At 61.5% G+C, this 11,476-nt stretch overlaps 1 protein-coding gene and 1 long non-coding RNA gene across 3 annotated transcripts, besides 4 other annotated features; one reads left to right on the forward strand and one right to left on the reverse strand.

Annotated features, from left to right (window-relative positions):
* Positions 1 to 320: 320 nt before the first annotated feature.
* On the forward strand, positions 321 to 9,996 carry GSDMD (gasdermin D). Of its 2 annotated transcripts, NM_001166237.1 has the most exons (14): positions 321 to 694; positions 1,993 to 2,130; positions 2,868 to 2,964; positions 5,296 to 5,385; positions 6,266 to 6,486; positions 6,711 to 6,903; positions 7,537 to 7,705; positions 7,936 to 8,038; positions 8,304 to 8,357; positions 8,676 to 8,762; positions 8,893 to 9,065; positions 9,143 to 9,284; positions 9,382 to 9,455; positions 9,596 to 9,996. In NM_001166237.1, exons 5-14 carry the CDS (start codon positions 6,270 to 6,272, stop codon positions 9,836 to 9,838), a joined length of 1,455 nt encoding a protein of 484 aa, NP_001159709.1. In that variant the 5' UTR covers positions 321 to 694; positions 1,993 to 2,130; positions 2,868 to 2,964; positions 5,296 to 5,385; positions 6,266 to 6,269; the 3' UTR covers positions 9,839 to 9,996. The 2 variants fall into 2 exon arrangements, with proteins under 2 accessions (NP_001159709.1, NP_079012.3); NM_024736.7 differs by lacking the exons at positions 321 to 694; positions 1,993 to 2,130; positions 2,868 to 2,964 and having other exon boundaries at positions 5,280 to 5,385.
* Positions 435 to 1,180: an enhancer, noted in NCBI's record as "H3K27ac-H3K4me1 hESC enhancer chr8:144635671-144636416 (GRCh37/hg19 assembly coordinates)". NCBI's record gives its function as "activates a minimal SCP1, AML or CMV promoter by ChIP-STARR-seq in naive and primed H9 embryonic stem cells {active_cell/tissue: H9 hESC(naive and primed)}" and the evidence as "EXISTENCE:reporter gene assay evidence [ECO:0000049][PMID:30033119]".
* Positions 753 to 1,047: a silencer, noted in NCBI's record as "tiled region #11851; HepG2 Repressive non-DNase unmatched - State 1:Tss". NCBI's record gives its function as "represses a minimal TATA promoter and a strong SV40 promoter by Sharpr-MPRA in HepG2 cells {active_cell/tissue: HepG2}" and the evidence as "EXISTENCE:reporter gene assay evidence [ECO:0000049][PMID:27701403]".
* Positions 1,181 to 1,924: an enhancer, noted in NCBI's record as "H3K27ac-H3K4me1 hESC enhancer chr8:144636417-144637160 (GRCh37/hg19 assembly coordinates)". NCBI's record gives its function as "activates a minimal SCP1, AML or CMV promoter by ChIP-STARR-seq in naive H9 embryonic stem cells {active_cell/tissue: H9 hESC(naive)}" and the evidence as "EXISTENCE:reporter gene assay evidence [ECO:0000049][PMID:30033119]".
* On the reverse strand, positions 3,753 to 5,205 carry LOC100310756 (uncharacterized). Its single transcript, NR_147504.1, has one exon. It is a non-coding gene; the product is annotated as an uncharacterized LOC100310756 (long non-coding RNA).
* Positions 5,095 to 5,736: an enhancer, noted in NCBI's record as "H3K27ac-H3K4me1 hESC enhancer chr8:144640331-144640972 (GRCh37/hg19 assembly coordinates)". NCBI's record gives its function as "activates a minimal SCP1, AML or CMV promoter by ChIP-STARR-seq in naive H9 embryonic stem cells {active_cell/tissue: H9 hESC(naive)}" and the evidence as "EXISTENCE:reporter gene assay evidence [ECO:0000049][PMID:30033119]".
* Positions 9,997 to 11,476: the final 1,480 nt, after the last annotated feature.

The raw sequence follows: 11,476 nt of genomic DNA on the forward strand, positions 1-11,476 counted from the left end.
TTCCCCGGCACCCCAGACCCCCTCGGGAGCTGCTGCCAGGCCAGGACAGTGTCTGGCAGGCACCTGAAGTCCCGCCCTGCGCGGGGCTGGTTCCCGAGGCCGGGTTGTCCAGGTCGCGGTCTGGCGTGAGTCCTCGTGCCCTTCCCGGCTCGGGGATTACCTCTCTGGCTGGTCCCCTCCTCCGTGCTCTGCGCGCCTCCACCCTAGCGCTTGTCTTGGCTCCTAGAACCAGGGGCCTGGACGCTGCTCAGGGCAGAGGCGCCCCCTCTGAGGGGCTGGCCCCTCAGCCGCACTCCGAGACAGCCGCCCCCGGGACCGCCCTTCCTTGGAGCCCCGCCGCCCGCCGCTCACTCTGCACACGCAGCAGAAGGGACGTGGTGTTCCCCAGGCTCTGGCCCCCCAGGACCTGCGCGGATCTGGCCCAGGGCGCCTCGCCGACTTCCGTAAACTGGGCGGAGGGATGAACCCCGACCCAGGGGACGGAGGCGCTCGCCCTCTCGCTGCAGGGTTCTGCCCTCAACACTTCTGGCCCCGCCTGTGAATGGGGGCCGGAGCGATGGGGCGGGGCCGGCCTCCCTCCCTCCTCCCAGGCTGACCTCTGCCCTCCTTCGAGCACTTCCCGTTCGGGGTGATGATTGAAGAACTGAGTGTGGACAGAGCACCTGTCCTCGCCAGCGCCCAGCTGGAAGCTGAGGTAACTTCGTCACTGCCCGTTGACCTGCGGGCACGGTGGGCCACACCTTGCTCAGCCGTCCGGGCCCTCACCTGCCCCTCCTGCCCGCAGACGGCGCCTGCTTGGCCTCAGACCAAGTCCCACAGGGGCTGCCGTGCCTGCCGCCTCCACCCCATTCCCCCAACAAGGCAGCGAGGCCTTCCCGGAAAATAAGCCTGGGCTCTTCACACCCCTGCTGGAGGCAAGGCCCGCCCTGCACTCTGGAGGCCGCCACCTCCTGCCGGTGTCTGGGAGGGGCCTGACGCACCACAGACCTAGAGGCAGCGAGGCTGTACAGGGCTTTCCAGGAATTTTGCTGCAAAGGAAAGGAGAAAAGCGGGAGGAGGGGAGGAGGGAGGAGGCCCAGATGGGCTCCCCTTCCTGCAGCGGACAGCCACGGGCGTGGCACCGGCTGCGCACCGTGACCTGCACATGAACACACACAGCGACATGTGCACACACAGGAACACAGAGGCCCACTTACATATAAATGCAGATGCGTGCCTGCATCAACGAGCGGGAGCACATTGGGCAAATGCACGTGTACATGCCCTACGTGAACACAAACCCGTGGACACAACACGCACGTGCATGCACCCGCACACAGACACGCGCACAAACGCGCACACGTACGTGTATGCACACGCGCACAAACATGCACAAAACACGGACGTGCATGCACACGCGCACATGTACACAACACGCACGTGCATACACATACGCACAATACGCACGTGTGTGCTCACGTGCACAAACGCACACAACACGCACGTGCATACACGCGCGCAAACGCACACAACACGCACGTGCATACACGCGCACAACGCGCACACAACACTCAGGTGCATAAACGCGCGCAAACGCACAACACACACGTGCATACACACGTGCACAAACACGCTCAACACGCACGTGCAAGCACCCGCATACAAACAGGCACACAACACCCACGTGCATACACACACACCTGCATGCACACGCGCACAACAGCCACACAACATGCACGTGCATACACACGCGCACAAACGCGTTAGTCTCTTCTTAGGCTCCTGGAGCCTCCTGCTACCATAAGCAAGGATTCTGGGCCCACACCCAGCTAATGGGCTCCAGCTGGACCAGAGCTAGAAGCCCGCCAGGCCGAGTTGGGTACCCCCTGCCCTAGGTGCCCATCACCAGCCAAAGCTCTCAGGCCTGCCTGTGTCCAGCCTGGGGTACACAGCAGTTCTGGGTTTCTGATTACACAAGATAATGTTTCCTTCTGTTGGCATCTGAATTTCCAGTTATTTGTGGCTGCAGCATTCCAACGCACACACCACCAGAAATCCCCTTCAGCATACTGGCCTCAGACCTACCAGGGCAGAGACCTTGTCTTGTTTGCTGCTAGAACCCAGGATCGCTGGAAAATCACCTAGCAGCAGGTGCTAATACACATTTGTTGGATGAATGAGTGAGTGTGAGAGCCTTCAGGGTGAGGCTCAGGCCAGGTCAGCCAGGCAGGGTGGGGGGCTGGTGTGGCCCCAGAGCTCTTGGAGGTAAAGGCCAAGAGGCAGAATGTGGCGGTGAAGGGTGGAGGGTGCAGAGCCCCAGGCTGCCGCAACATCCCTGCCCTGGACACCTCCAGCTGGGCTCAGGGTTGGGCTGCAGGATCTGGGTGAGCAAATGAGCCTGCATCCTCCTTGCCCAACTCTGCCCCAGCCAGGACCTTGACCCCTCGGGAGTGGCTGCTAGGACAGGGCAGGGAGCAGCGACCCCCAACACCTGTGGCCTTGCAGGGATGCTGTGTGCCCGGCTCCTTCCATCTTCACCATGGAGGCTGCAGCACAACAGCTCAGCACGTGCTGGCCCTGTTACCCAGCAGGGACGGGCTGCCACACCCCAGGGCGCTGGCTTCCAGGGGCAGCAGTGTGTGGGCTCCTTGCCTGCCGGGGTCACGGAGGAAGGTCAGCTCTGCCCAGCAGTGTGTCCTGAGATGAAACCTTAGACCCACCTGGTCTGCAAAACAGTACCCAAGCCCAGTGTAGTGGCTCAGCCCTGGAATCCCAGCACTTTGGGAGGCTGAGGCGGGAGGATCACTTGAGCTCAGAAGTTCAAGACCAGCCTGGGCAACATAGTGAGACCTTTCTACTGAAAATTAAATAATTTTAAAAACTTACAGCCAGGTGCGGTGACTCACGCCTGTAATCCCAGCACTTTGGAAGGCCAAGGCGGGTGGATAGCAAGGTCAAGAGATCGAGACCAGCCTGGCCAACATGGTAAAACCCTGTCTCTACTAAAAATACAAAATTAGCTGGGCGTGGTGGCGGGCACCTGTAATCCAAGATACTCGGGAGGGTGAGACAGGAGAATTGCTTGAGCCCGGGAGGCAGAGATTGCAATGAGCTGAGGTTGTGCCATTGCACTCCAGTCTGGGCAAAAAAGAGCAACACTCCGTCTCTCACACACAGACACAAAATTAGCCGGGTGTGGTGGTACATGCCTGTAGTCCCAACTACTCGGGAGGCTGAGGCAGGAGAATCGCTTGAACCTGGGAGGCAGAGGTTGCAATGAGCTGAGATCACGCCACTGCACTCCATCCTGGTGACAGAGCAAGACTCAGTCTCAAAACAAAAACGAAAACTTTGCCAGGTGTGGTGCTGAGCACCTGTAGTCCCAGCTACTCAGGAGACTGACAGGAGGGGATCACTTGAGCCCAGGAGGTCGAGGCTGCAGTGAGTGGTGATTGTGCCACTGCACTCCAGCCTGGGCGACAGAGAGATCTTGCCTCACACAAAACAAAACAAACAACAAAAAATACACAAAACAGCCAGGAGACAGCACCAGCAGGGACCCGCAGGGCACCACTGTGTCCCCACTGTGGTCAGGCCTAGGAGTGGGGCCGAAGCCCAAGTAGCCCCATCCACAACCGCGGAGCGGCTGGGAGGGCCGGGTGGGAGGACTACCGTGTGCAGGGGTGGGCCCATGGCCCTGGGCCCACCATGACTTAGGTCAGTAGGGCACTGAGGGAGCCTGTGCCGAGACTAGGTGTTGCTACTGGGCACTAGATTTTTAAAATAACTGCTTTAATGAGACATAATTGTGTAATTCCCATACCATACAATTCATCCATTTAAAGTGTGCAATTCTGTGGGTCTTAGCATATTCAGAGGTATGCAAACATCACCAACGGCCAATATCAAAACACTTCCTCACCCCAGAAAGAAACCCCAAACCAGCAACCGTCGCTCCCAACCCCCGTCCCGGGCACCGGCAGCGCCATCTCCCTTCTTCCCTCTGGACGTGCCCATTCGGGACACATCACGTGAGCAGGATCACGCCGTCCGCTCCGTGTGCCTGGCTTTTCACTTAGCATGATGTCTCCAAGTCTGTGTCGCCCGTCTGTGTCGCCCAGTGCATCAGGGTCTCATTCCTTTTGACCGTGGGCGCCGTTCTACGGCCTGGATTCCAGTGCCTGGACTGGCCATGTTTAGTCTATGCACGCCTCAGTGGATGGACAGGGTTTCCACCTTGCCGCTATGGCGAAGGATGCTGCCGCTATGGCGAAGGATGCTGCCGCTATGGTGAAGGATGCTGCCGCTTTGGCGAAGGATGCTGCCGCTATGGCGAAGGATGATGCCGCTGTGACGACAGCTGCTGCCGCTGTGGCGAAGGATGCTGCCGCTGTGACGACGGATGCTGCCGCTATGATGAAGGATGATGCCGCTGTGACGACGGATGCTGCCACTATGGCGAAGGATGCTGCCGTGAACTTTGGTGCACAGGCATCTGTTTGCGTCTTTGCTTTCAATTCCTGTGGGTGGAGCTAGGAGTGGAATTGCTGGGTCACACGGTAACTCTTGGAGGAGCTGCCAGGCTTATTCCAGAGGGCCGCACGGGTTGACATTCCCACCAGCATTGCACAAATGTTCCAGTGACTCCACGTGCCCCCCGCGCTGGTTATTCACCTTTAGTAATACGACCATCTTTGTCAGTGTGCAGTATCTCTCTGTGGATTCCATTTGCATTTCCTTGATGACTAAGGGTGTTGAGCATCTTTGCATTTGCTTGAGGGCAATTTCTACATTTTGTACATCTTTGGAAGATCTGCCCAGACCCTTCGGCACAGGCCCAAAGTTGTTTGTTTGCTTGTTTGTTTTTGAGACGGAGTCTCACTCTGTCGCCCAGGCTGGAGTACAATGGCATGATCTCGGCTCACTGCAACCTACACCTCCCAGGTTCAAGCGATTCTCTTGCCTCAGCCTCCCAGGTAGCTGGGATCACAGGCATGCGCCACCACGCCGGGCTAATTTTGTATTTTTAGTAGAGACGGGGTTTCACCATGTTGGTCAGTCTGGTCTTGAACTCCCGACCTCAGGTGATCCGCCCGGGCACAGGCTCAGAGTTTTAAGAAAAACCACAAAGTGCTATGAAGTTTGAGGCTACCAGGATGGGGCGCCAAGCCAAGGTTCCTCCGGACGCGCGAGGCTGGTGCTCCAGGCGGGCTGGCGGGAAGAGGGGGCAGGAAGGGGGCCGGGGCGGGCTCTCCGGGACGGTTCCGGGAGGGCGTCCTGGGCGGGCCCTGCGTCAGGTTGCAGTTTCACTTTTAGCTCTGGGCACCTCCAGCTCCTGCTCGCCGGACGGCTCCCAGGGAGAGCAGACGCGCCAGACGCGCCACCCTCGGGGCGCCGACGGTCACGGTGAGCTGCGCCCCGCCCCCTCCCCCGGCCTGGCTGGAGCTCCCGAGTGGGGCCGGCCGCTGGCTCCCGGGTGGGGGATGCTGGCCCTGCTGCCCCAGCGTTCGCCCAGAAGGCCCCGCGCCGCACACGGGGGCGGAAGCTCCAGGCTTCGGGAAAGGCTGCCCCTGGCCAGCCCAGGGGCCCGGCCTTTGGACCTGGGCTTGGGCTTGACTCCCAGGTCCGCCATCCAGGTTCCCGGGCCGGTGCTGTTCCCGCCCCCAGCTGCCTTCTGGGCCCAGCCTCCACTTTCAGCAGACCCAGCACTCAGAGGCTTCCTGGGGCAGCTGCAGCCCCTCCACAGTGGCCCAGGTGCCCCCTATCCCAGCGGAGGCCCGCTATGGCCTCTGACCCCCAAAGCCTCAGCCTTGGACAGGTGGCTCATGGAGCTCCAGGCACAGAGAAGGCCCTGGAGGACGCAGCTGGGGTGGGGCGACACTCTGGCTGGGTTTTGCAGTGGGTCCCTGGTGACACTCTGGCTGGGTTTTGCAGTGGGTCCCTGCACCACGCTCAGGAGGTGACAGCTTGTTTCCTCCCAGCCAGAGGCAGCCATTCTAGTGGACAGAGCCCTCTGTGTTAGAGCAGGTCTGGGCGTCAGGCCTCACTGTCCCTGGCTGGAGGTGCTCATGGTACCGTAGACAACAGGGAGAACACTGTAATTCTGTGTTGGGGAGGGCCGGGGACAGAAGCTTTCTGCTAGTGGGAGCATCCCAGGATGAGCTGGGCAGGGCTGTTCTGGAGGGAAGGAGTCCCCCATCATGGGAGACATCCAAGTACTGACCCTTCTCCCACTCCCTCCCGCCCGCCCCGAGAGCACAATGCCTGACCCATTTCCCCTCCTCAGGAGCATGGGGTCGGCCTTTGAGCGGGTAGTCCGGAGAGTGGTCCAGGAGCTGGACCATGGTGGGGAGTTCATCCCTGTGACCAGCCTGCAGAGCTCCACTGGCTTCCAGCCCTACTGCCTGGTGGTTAGGAAGCCCTCAAGCTCATGGTTCTGGAAACCCCGTTATAAGTGTGTCAACCTGTCTATCAAGGACATCCTGGAGCCGGATGCCGCGGAACCAGGTGCCTGATGTGGTGCTGAGGCAGAGCCCCAGGGAGGCTGGATGGGAGAGGGGAGCGGGCTGGGGCCAACCATCCACTGGGCTCTGCAGCCTCTAGCTCTGGGCCTCTCTTCCAGAGGCCGGGGCCTTTCCAAAGGTCCCTCTGCCCTGGGGCTGGGACAGGGCTGGTGGGGGCGGGGGAGAGGCGGGGCGCTGGGCACAGCCTCAGGTCTGGCCTTGCTTTAGACGTGCAGCGTGGCAGGAGCTTCCACTTCTACGATGCCATGGATGGGCAGATACAGGGCAGCGTGGAGCTGGCAGCCCCAGGACAGGCAAAGATCGCAGGCGGGGCCGCGGTGTCTGACAGCTCCAGCACCTCAATGAATGTGTACTCGCTGAGTGTGGACCCTAACACCTGGCAGACTCTGCTCCATGAGAGGTGGGCCCGAAGAGGGCAGGGCAGGGCAGGGCCCCACCTACCCCAAGCAACCCTGCTTTTATTTATTTATTTATTTAAATTATTTTTTGAGGTGAGGTTTTGCTATCTCGGCCAGGGTGGTCTTGAACTCCTGGCCTCAAGCAGTCCTCCTGCCTCGGCCTCCCAAAGTGCTGGGATTACAGGGGTGAGCCACTGTGCCAGGTCCCAGCCTTGCTCTTGGGAAGGTCACAACCTTGGGGCATCAGGAAAGTCCCAGAGGCAAAAGAGCGCTGTGGCCGGAACCAGCTTGCAGGAAGGAAGCTGCAGGGGTCATCTGGGGCCTCCGCTGCCAGGACTGGATCCTAAGGACCGGACTGAGCCCCAGGCTGCTGTGAGGACAAGGGGTGGTGTGAACACGGGGGCCCAGGTGAGGGGGCCGCACCTCGAGTCTGGACTTGGAGTCCCCGAGTCCACCTTTCCTCATGGGGTCCCGTCCCCGTGGGGAGCACACGGAGAGGCTGCCGGTGCCCCGGCACCCACAGACCTCTGGAGGGCCCCTCTGCACCACCTCCCCCGGTGGCGTGGGGCTGTCAGGGGAGGGAAGACGCCTTCAGGGGCTGCGGCCCAGCGAGCTTTGCTGCTCCTCGGACACAGGCACCTGCGGCAGCCAGAACACAAAGTCCTGCAGCAGCTGCGCAGCCGCGGGGACAACGTGTACGTGGTGACTGAGGTGCTGCAGACACAGAAGGAGGTGGAAGTCACGCGCACCCACAAGCGGGAGGGCTCGGGCCGGTTTTCCCTGCCCGGAGCCACGTGCTTGCAGGTGTGTAGCCAGCCCCGGGCCACGCCTGGCCCCCCACGTGGGCATGCGGCGGCGGGTGACGGAGGCGGCGGGCTGGGCTCCGCCAAGGCCCCTCGGAGCAGCTCCCAGCCCTGCGCTTGGCTGCGGAGCCGAAGTCACCTGGCGGCGGGCCTGCCCCCGGCACCCGGCCCGCACCCGCACCCCACGGCCCGGTGCCAGGGCCCAGCCCCGAGCCCATCTCCATGCCTCAGGGTGAGGGCCAGGGCCATCTGAGCCAGAAGAAGACGGTCACCATCCCCTCAGGCAGCACCCTCGCATTCCGGGTGGCCCAGCTGGTTATTGACTCTGACTTGGGTGAGCTGGAGTTGGGGGTGTCTCGGGCCCAGGCCCTGGCAGAGAAACAGGGAGGCCTGGGGAGAGCTACCCGCCAGCTTGGGCTGCCGTGGGCCCCTGGCTGAACAACGTCCTGTGTCTGGCAGGTGGCTGAGGTCCTGTGCTCTGGTGTGTGGGTGATTGGGCAGGGCCTGAGCTGGACAGGGGAGCTCCTAGTAGGGGAGGGGAGGGGATGCTGGGATCTAGGTGACATGCCTGTCCCTGTCTGCTCCCGTCTGGCTGCCAGACGTCCTTCTCTTCCCGGATAAGAAGCAGAGGACCTTCCAGCCACCCGCGACAGGTGAGAGCCGAGAGCCCCCAGCATGGGGTGTCCGGTGGGAAAAGCACACTCCCTGGGCAGTTGAGGCCTTCTCCTCATGTTCTCAGGGCACAGGGAGGCCGGGCAGCCCCCTGAGGCGGTGGGCACCCCCCATACACACACAAGGGGCAACACAGGACAGCTGACCCTGGGCCTCCCCAGCCTCCCTTCCTGCCCTGGGCTGCCAGTGTTGGCAGTGGTGAGCGGGGCTGTGACGGCCTGGGGAAGGCCTCAGCCCTCTCTGGCTCAGACACCCTTCCCCGGCACTGACCAGCCCTGCCCTCCCATGCCCCTGCCCAGGCCACAAGCGTTCCACGAGCGAAGGCGCCTGGCCACAGCTGCCCTCTGGCCTCTCCATGATGAGGTGCCTCCACAACTTCCTGACAGGTCAGTGCCCTCCTGACCGCCCCGGGGACCTTTGGTGGGCTCTCCTGCCCCCTGGGGTCTGCCTGTCCTGACCGAGGCTTTCCAGGGCCCTGTAAGCACCTGGGCAGTGCCAGCCCTTCTGTCCCTACAGATGGGGTCCCTGCGGAGGGGGCGTTCACTGAAGACTTCCAGGGCCTACGGGCAGAGGTGGAGACCATCTCCAAGGAACTGGAGCTTTTGGACAGAGAGCTGTGCCAGCTGCTGCTGGAGGGCCTGGAGGGGGTGCTGCGGGACCAGCTGGCCCTGCGAGCCTTGGAGGAGGCGGTGAGCGGGGGAGGGTGCCCGGGGCACACAAGGCCTGCCCAGCCAGCCAGACTCACCTGCCCTTCCCGTGCCCACAGCTGGAGCAGGGCCAGAGCCTTGGGCCGGTGGAGCCCCTGGACGGTCCAGCAGGTGCTGTCCTGGAGTGCCTGGTGTTGTCCTCCGGAATGCTGGTGCCGGAACTCGCTATCCCTGTTGTCTACCTGCTGGGGGCACTGACCAGTGAGCGGCCGCTGGGGGCAGGTGGCGGGTGGGAGGGAGGGAGGTGGGCTTTCCCGGTGGGCGTTCAGAAACCCCCTTTTACCTGACTCTCTCCCAGTGCTGAGTGAAACGCAGCACAAGCTGCTGGCGGAGGCGCTGGAGTCGCAGACCCTGTTGGGGCCGCTCGAGCTGGTGAGAGGGTTGGGTTCGGGCTGCAGGAGGATGGGCTGAGCCAGTGGAAGGGGCCCTGTGGCACCTGGGAAGGGGTGGTATGGGCAGGCACAAGATGCCCAGATTTCCCCATCTGACTCACTCCTGCCCTGTCTTGGCAGGTGGGCAGCCTCTTGGAGCAGAGTGCCCCGTGGCAGGAGCGCAGCACCATGTCCCTGCCCCCCGGGCTCCTGGGGAACAGCTGGGGCGAAGGAGCACCGGCCTGGGTCTTGCTGGACGAGTGTGGCCTAGAGCTGGGGGAGGACACTCCCCACGTGTGCTGGGAGCCGCAGGCCCAGGGCCGCATGTGTGCACTCTACGCCTCCCTGGCACTGCTATCAGGACTGAGCCAGGAGCCCCACTAGCCTGTGCCCGGGCATGGCCTGGCAGCTCTCCAGCAGGGCAGAGTGTTTGCCCACCAGCTGCTAGCCCTAGGAAGGCCAGGAGCCCAGTAGCCATGTGGCCAGTCTACCATGGGGCCCAGGAGTTGGGGAAACACAATAAAGGTGGCATACGAAGGAAAGGCTGGTAGCAGAGTTTTTGAGGGGTCCTGGATCTGGGGTAGGGTGGGTAGGGGTGGGGACAGTACCCATGCATGATCAGGAGGGACATCAGGGCCAAGTGCAGGTGATGTCTGCATTGCCCGGCTTCTTTTGCACCCTGGAGCTAAGGGGAGCCCCATGCTGGGCTTGGCCGCTCTCTAGAGTAATGGGCCCATGGCCCTGCCCACCCCTGCCTGTGTGTTTCTCTACCTGTGAGGAAGGGCAGGGCGATTTAGGTGAGACAGTTCCACCAGGCGTGTCCGTGGCTGAGGCATGGCAGGAACCTCTGCTTCAGGGAGCTTGAGGCATGTGCTGAAGGGTGTAGCCATCCTCGGCCCACAGGGGCTTTAGGGGTGCAGGTGTGACTGATGACAGGCCCTGCCCTCCTGGGGCCACACAGGAGGTTCCTGGGGAAGCAGTACTAAAGAAACTGACCTTTGGTACATTTCACCCACATCTGCTTGCCTGAGCTAAGAGCCTGGAGAGAGGAGGTCTCCGGCCTGTGGGAATTAAGCAGGTCCAGGGTCACATCCAGTTGCTTACTTGCAGGAGCTCAGCAGCTGTGGCCTCCACGTCCAGGGAGGGACACGCAACACTTGACGTGGCCGGGGAGTGATTGTTCCTGGGAGAGTGGACAACCTTCCTTGGTGGGGACCAGTCTACCTGCACATGGTCGCCAGCCTTCCCCACTTCTGTCAGGGCACACAATGGCCACACAACTTGCAGAGCTTGCAAAAGAGAAGGAACAGTGGATTTGGCTACAACTGGGACATTAAATCCACCAGAAAACCTGGTATCCAGGCCCAACAGTGACTTTTTTTTTTTTTTTTTTTTTTTTTTTTGAGACGGAGTCTCTCTGTCGCCAGGCTGGAGTGCAGTAGCGTGATCTCGGCTCACTGCAACCTCCACCTCCCACAATTCTCCTGCCTCAGCCTCCCGAGTGGCTGAGGCTACAGGAGCACACCACCACACCCAGCTAATTTTTGCATTTTTACTGGAGACGGGGTTTCTCCATGTTGGCCAGGATGGTCTCGATCTCTTGACCTTGTGATCCACCCACCTTGGCCTCCCGAAGTGCTGGGATTACAGGTGTGAGCCACCGCACCCAGCAGACTTTTTTTTTTTTTTTGAGATGGAGTCTCGCTCTGTCGCCCAGGCTGGAGTGCAGTGGCGCCATCTCGGCTCACTGCAGGGGTTTCACCGTGTCAGCCAGGATGGTCTCGGTCTCCTGACCTCGTGATCCACCTGCCTCCGCCTCCCAAAGTGCTGGGTTTACAGGCGTGAGCCACCGCGCCTGGCCTTTTTTTTTTTTTTTTTTTTAAAGAGACAGGGTCCTGCAATGTCACCCAGGCTGTGTAGTGGGACAATCATGGTTCACAGCAGCCTCGATCTCCTGAGCTCAAGGAATTCTCCCGCCTCAGCCTGCTGAGTAGCTGGACGATAGGCACATACCACCAGTCC

Source organism: Homo sapiens, chromosome 8, assembly GCF_000001405.40.
Source record: "Homo sapiens chromosome 8, GRCh38.p14 Primary Assembly".
NCBI classification, from domain to species: domain Eukaryota; kingdom Metazoa; phylum Chordata; class Mammalia; order Primates; family Hominidae; genus Homo; species Homo sapiens.

Excerpts from the sequence above, each read along its gene's own strand:
- GSDMD (NM_001166237.1), top strand. The coding sequence starts at position 6,270 with ATGGGGTCGGCCTTTGAGCGGGTAGTCCGGAGAGTGGTCCAGGAGCTG. Across the intron at positions 6,904-7,536 it reads CAGACTCTGCTCCATGAGAG|GCACCTGCGGCAGCCAGAAC; the intron begins GTGGGCCCGAAG and ends CCTCGGACACAG. Across the intron at positions 9,285-9,381 it reads CCTGCTGGGGGCACTGACCA|TGCTGAGTGAAACGCAGCAC; the intron begins GTGAGCGGCCGC and ends ACTCTCTCCCAG.